Here is a 6,960-nt window from a genome sequence, read left to right as displayed (position 1 = left end):
GGTTGCTCTCCTGGCTGAGTTCAGACAGAAGTGGAACCACTAGGTCAGAAGCTCTAGAAAGAATTGCCTGCCCAGCTACCAGTGGCAAGAGTGGGTTGGTCCACCTGCCCAGTGGTGCAGGTGCTTCCTGGTACCTTTGTATTTATGTGTGCTTTTATGATGATGAATATCGTTCTTTTATTTCCATATGTAGAAGTCCTTTGAGCATTTATTGTAGGTCTTGTCTAGTGGCAACAAATTCCCTTTGCATTTGCTCGCCTGGGAAAGGCTTTATTGCTCCTTCATTTATGAAGCTTAGCTTGATGGGATATAAAATACTTGGCTGGATTTTTTTAAGAGGGTTAAAATTAGGACCTCAATTCCTTCTGTCTTGTAGGGTGTCTGCTAAGAAGTCTACTTTTAGTCTGATGAGATTTCCCTTATAGGTGGTTTAATGCATCTCTCTAGCTGCTTTTAAGGTTTTATTTTTTTTTTCATGTTGACATCAGATAGTCTCATGACTATATGCCTTGCTGATATTCTTGTTGTATGGTACCTTCCAGATAGTCTTTGAATTTCTTGTATCTGGATATCTACATCTCTAGCAAAATCAGAAAAATTTTCCTGAATTATTTCATCAAATATGTTTTCTAAATTTTTTACATTTGCTTCTCTCTCAGTAATGTCTATAAATGATAGGTTTAGATGCTTTACATAATCTCAAATTTTTCAAAGTCTTCATTCATTTCTTTATTTTTTAAAAATTTTTATCTGACTTGGTTAATTTAAAAGACTGGTCTTCATACACTGAAATTCTTTCATCTTCTTGGTCTATTCTATTGCTAAAGTGTTAAAGAGTATTTTCAAATTATTTCAGTAATTTTTTTTATTTCTAGAAGTCTTTGTTTTTTAGTTGTAATACATTAATTTCATTTTATTTCCTGAATTTTTTGTATGATTTCTTTGTGTTGGTTTTCAACTTTCTTTTTGATCTTATTGAGCTTTCTTACAATCTGTGTTTTGAATTTGCTACTTGTAATTTAAGAATTTTCATTTTGGTTAAGAATAATTCATAGAGAGCTATTGTGATCCTTTGGGGTGTGAAAACACTCTGTGTTTTTCTGCTGCTGGAGTTCTTGCACTGATTTCTTCTTATCTGAAGAAGCTGTCAGTTATTAGTTTTAAATTTTATATCATTTAAATGAGAAATTTTTATTTTTAATTATTTTCTCCCTTGAGTGTCTGACTGTAATGTATGCTGTGTATGGTTATTTGGCTTCATTTTTGTGTCCTTTCAGAGAACCACATCAGTGTATATGGTTTTCTTGGTTATAGATTTTTTTTGTGCCTTTCTTTTCTTTTCTTTTTTTTTTTTTTTTTTTTTTTTGAGACAGAGTCTCACTCTGTCACCCAGGCTGGAGTGCAGTGGCACCATCTCGGCTCACTGCAAACTCTGCCTCCTGGGTTCACGCCATTCTCCTGCCTCAGCCTCCCGAGTAGCTGGGACTACAGGCGTCTGCCACCACATCCGGCTAATTTTTTATATTTTTAGTAGAGATGGGGTTTCACCGTGTTAGCCAGGATGGTCTCCATCTCCTGACCTCGTGATCCGCCCGCCTCGGCCTCCCAAAGTGCTGGGATTACAGGCATGAGCCACCACGTCCGGCCTGTGCCTTTCTTAAATGCTGTTTAATGTATTTAGCATATGAGACAACTTGGTATCTTTTGCAGTGCTGAGAGTTTGAAGGTCTCTGAAAGTTTATCATACCTTTGCTGTATGCCTTTTTGTCAGCATATTTTTTATTTGATGGTGCAATTCAGTCTCCAATGAAGTAGGTGAAGCTTTAGAGTAAAAAGCCAGCCAACCCTTGGTTACCCTGATCATGAGTGGAAGTGCATGCCTTGACCAGGAAGGTGGGAGCAGTCTGTGATGTGGTGTGCTATGTAAAAAGAATCAGGGAGGGGATTGCACCAGTTTCCTTTCCTGGGCAGGCAGAAAAAGGATCCACTTTCTTATTATTCCTCTGTCATGGGGGTTTCAACCTTCCATTTAAATACACACTGTTTTTTATTTGCAGGCTACAGTGGAATTGAGGTCCATGAAAAAGGCTTGTGAGGTAGCCACCGGCAAAACGGCCTTGAGGCAGAACCTCTTTCCCTAGTTGAAAACAGACAGCTCTGTGGCTTGTCTGACCTATGTTGCAGGGATGAAGCCACTCTATGTAGGGAAAGGGAGATAAGCCCCACTCTTCATGCAAGCCTGGGAAGCAGCAGGCTCCCTTTCAGCAGAGGTGAAGCTGTCATGAATAGCACTGGAGAAGCTGTATCTGCACCCTCAGTGGGAAAAGCCTTTGCCATATCTGCAGCAGTGAATAGAGGGAGCAGGAGAGGACTCCCTCTCTACATCTATTCCCAGCCACTGGAGCTGCCTATCCACTGGGGTGGAATAAAGCTCCTTAATTCAGAGATCAACACTGCACCCATGCTTCCTGTGTCCCAGGGAGTGCATTAGCAGACTGTGCTCTCCTTTCTTCTACAGGCAGCCTGCACCATATGACAGATCTCCAGGAATCCTGCTGCTCCCTAGTGTCCCACTGGTCCCCTGTTGTTCCTAAATTTAGAATGGGTTCTTGAGTATGTTTGTGGGGAATCTGGCAATACAATGACACAAGAGCTGAGATTTCCTGGACAGGGTAGTGGCCAAAAATGAGTGCATAACCAGTATGGTGCCTGTTGCCTTAATTGAGGTTTGAGGGAAGTGCAAGTGCACCTGCACAAGCTAGTCACCCAATGTTCTGTTTCCAGGAAGCTTCCAAATTACCACTAACCACATTGCATGAGTTTGTGAGGATGAAGTCAGAGGGGCTCTGTAGGGGTTCAGTCAGGATGGTGGGAAAAATTGTAAAATAAACACAAATCTTCTTGGAAGGCCAGAAGGTTTTTCACAAAAGCCTCAGGATAAAGTTATGGTTGAAGGCAGCCTAATCATCTTTGAGCTATAGCAAGGGTAATTAACATAGGAGTGTAGAGGAGTCTATCTAAATAGCTTGTTTACTCATGTGGTCCTAAGACCAACCTTTGATAAACCGCAGGTGCATAATTGCTCTCTGCTTGAGGGGTTGGTAACCAAGTTAATTGCCCATAGGTGTGTTGACTCAAGCTTTTGTCAGTTAAATCTGTACTAAGTAAATGTGAGCATTGCTAGCTTAGAGAGGCCACAAACTCTCTTCAGCTCCTAGTGCCGGCAGCCCCCTGGCCCACTCTTTCACTGAATATCAGTGTCTGAGTAAGTGTCTCATCCATCGTGCAGCTGGGGTCTGCAGGACAGACCCCCACAGGGCTCTTAAACAATTTAGAGGTTAACTGTCTCTCACAGGAGTGAAAGGATCAAAGAAATACCCCCACCTATCCTTTCCACGGGACTCCAAGTACCTTAGGGGTTAATCTCTGCCAGATTCTTGCTGCCTTCCTTTCCTGTGCCCAGTTGCTTTCTCTGAATTCTCCAACAGGTTTTGTCACTCTTCCCTGATATTTCAACTTATTTCATGACCATTGATCTGTAATTTTCATATTCTCTCTGAGGGGAATTGGCATCTGACATCAATATTCAGCCACCTTGAAAAAAATAAAATGCAATTCATTTTCAAAAAGTTTTAAAGTCAAGTATATTTTAAAATATGTATATGCTAAATTTCACCAACACATCAGACTTTGGACCTAATAGAGAATTAATATTGTCTTAAAAATATGTGGTATAAAAAATTTAATTATCTACTAGACCATAATGTAAATATAGAAAAATCTAAAAAACTAAAACTAAAACATATTCACAAATCACAAAACAATAGTAAACAAATGAAAGTAATTTCCTAAAATAAATTCATCTAGAAATTAAAAACACACTGATATTAGTAAACCATTTGTAAGTTAATATAGACATCATTGAAAAATTATTATGCACCAAAATAAAAACATTTATAAAAATCCTATAGGAAAAGTACAGAAAAGTAAGCATGAACAATAAGAGCTAAAAATGCCCTCATTAAGACTCACATTTAATTGAAAGTAAACTACTCTTTTAAACCATGAATCTAGAAAAAGGGCAACAAAATAAACTAAAAATAAAATAACGCAATTAATAATAATAAATAGTAATTAACAATATAAGCAAAAACCTCAAGGCTGAATTATAAAATATTGTTTCTTTAATAAAATTATTAGAAGAAGAAAGAAGGTAAAAAAGATGTCAATGATGAAAAATTAAAATAGAAACTAAAGACAGACTCAAAAATGTTTTTCAAAAAATAATTACGTATACAATTTCATAACGATTTATTTTAAAACCTAAAATAAATACATTTTATTAAAAAATATTCCTAAATTTGGCTGAATTAGTAAACACTTAATATTCACACAATTTTTAGAAAATTGCTAGAGTTATTTATAAAAGAGACAGAATAAGTATTACCAAAACTTTATTTTTATTTTTAATTTTTTAAATTTTTTTTGAGATAGCATCTTGCACTGTCACCCAGGCTGGAGTACAGTAGTGCAGTGGTGTGATCACAGCTCACTGCAGCCTCAAACTCCCTGGGCTCAGATGATCCTCCTACCTCAGCCTTCTAAGTAGCTGGGACTACAGGCATATGCCACCGTGCCCAGCTATGTTTTTTGTATTTGTTGTAGAGATGGGTTTTGGTCATGTTGTCCATTTTGGTCTCAAACTCCTGGGCTCAAGCAATCCACCTGCCTTGACCTCCTAAATTGCTAGAATTACAGGCATGAGCTACCATGCCCTACCCGAAACCTTTAAAGAAGAGACAATTCCCATCACATGTAAACTCTTTCTGTACATATGAAAATATGTGAAGACACTAAACATATTTATTAGGCTAGAACAACCTTGACAACCAAACAAGGTAAGGACAACACCAAATAGGAAAATCATAGATCTCAATTATCAACATAGATACAGACATTCTAAATAAAATTATTAGCATAGAGAGTTCAACTGTATGCTACCCAATAGTAATTCATGACCAAATAATGTTTTTACCAGGAAAGCAAGAGTGAATCAACATTTAATTACTTCGTGTAATTTATTACATCACTATATTCACATGATCATCTCAATAGCTGTCCTCCAAAAGCAATTGCTAAATTTCAATGGTTAAACAACTGTCACAGTTAATGGTAAGACATCTGCAGTATTGCTATTAGGATCAGATATGAAGTAACGCATCCACTAATATTCAATATTGGACTAAAAAGCTAAGCCAAACATGATAAGAAAATGATGATATACTATTAGAAAGTTATAAAAAATTTATTATTGGACATGATATCACTTTCTATGCTTTATAAAAACAGTAAACTAAAATGCATTTAGAATTAATATAAGGTTTCTAATTGGTAGCATGATACAAGATTAGCACAAATAAATCAATAGGATGACTGATAACTATCAGCAATGTCTGATTGTCAAATAGAAATGAAAACTCAGTCACATTAGCCTCAAAAATTACAAACTGTATAAAAATTAACCTAACAAAAAAGTAGTAAGAACTTCTCAGGAACAACAACAACAACAATAAAAAGCCACCACCACCACCACCACCAACAACAAAAACATTTCATAGGACATAATAGAAGAATTAAGTAGTTGGAGAAAGATACTATGTTCATCATGGATGATGGAAAGACCCATAGTCCAAAAACCTGACAAAACTCCATTAAAATTTTTAACATGGTATTCCAAAGAATTAAGAAGCTGATTCTAAAGTTTATAGAAATCTAAAGAAAAAACTGAGTTTTAACCTAGAAAAAACGTGTTTGTTGATGAGGAAATAATGTGGTCCCTCTTCTTCAGCAGAATTAGAAGTGGATGAAGTTAAATAATGTAGATCAATCTCAGAAAAATGATAATCACTTATTTAAACACCTCACTGTCAGTATCTTGGGTTATACTGAAACAGTTCTACTACCTAATTAGATAACTCCTAATAACAACAGGGACACTGAAATAGAAAGATCTGTGTATATAGGTGGTTTAGAGAACAACTGTTTAAAGTGCCTGGACAAATAAATAGAGAAGGGTAGAAGAAAGCAATGAGCTAGCCTCTTTTTGCAGAACTCATCATGCAGGAAGACAGAGCAACTCCTACCAGTGGAAGGTCTTGATATAAATATATTGTTCATCCAGAGTATGTAAATGAAAGAGACAGATTTACATAATCCAACTGGAAAGTTTAGAGAGAGTAACTAGGTAAATGTGACTCTGTCCATTCTCTTGGGAGCAGGTCTATTCCCAGAGGGCATGTCTTCTCACTTGGTCTTGGCCATCTATGGAGGTAACTTAGCAACAAGGCAGGAGTTAGTTCTTAACCTTTCTAGTACATTAAATGCCCAGGGGATATTTTTAAAATAATGAAGTCTAAGCTCCACCTACAAATGGAGCCTGGGCACTGGGATTTTTCAAATAGTCTTGAGATGATTCTAATATTCAGTTATGATTAAGAACCATAGCATTAGGGGTTTTACAGTATTTTGTGAGTAAGAAGGCACTGCAGATTTGAAGGATAAGTTTTATTCAGGGAAGACGTATATTCTAGTGTGTTGGACTGCTGGGAACTTTGAGACAGAAATTATTGGTGGAGTTTTGAAAAGAAAAGCATACATCGATCAAGGCTTCTGATATAGCCAGGACAACTGTCTTTAAAATTTGCAAGTGTATTCACTGAAAGAGACTCTTCTTTATTCTGGAAATATGCATGTTTTAATTTAATTTTTTTTTTAGTGTTAAAATAACATTTCTGAGCTGGGGGAAATTAGGTGGTGATTGTGTTTTTTATGTTCTTATTTCAAAAATTAAGATACTGGCAACTTCATTTGAGTATCTTTTTTCAAAAAAAAATTGTCATTAGTTGACAGATATAAAAACCAGTAAATCACTACACTGGCTTCTTTAGCCCAAGGGCTTAT

General features: G+C 36.5%; 1 annotated feature.

The window, feature by feature from the left end:
- Positions 2,814–3,469: an enhancer, noted in NCBI's record as "NANOG hESC enhancer chrX:78856708-78857363 (GRCh37/hg19 assembly coordinates)". NCBI's record gives its function as "activates a minimal SCP1, AML or CMV promoter by ChIP-STARR-seq in naive H9 embryonic stem cells {active_cell/tissue: H9 hESC(naive)}" and the evidence as "EXISTENCE:reporter gene assay evidence [ECO:0000049][PMID:30033119]".

Source organism: Homo sapiens, chromosome X (genome assembly GCF_000001405.40).
Source record: "Homo sapiens chromosome X, GRCh38.p14 Primary Assembly".
NCBI lineage: Eukaryota > Metazoa > Chordata > Mammalia > Primates > Hominidae > Homo > Homo sapiens.
The sequence above is the reverse complement of the archived record's forward strand: the minus strand, read 5'-3'. Positions and strand labels throughout refer to the sequence as shown.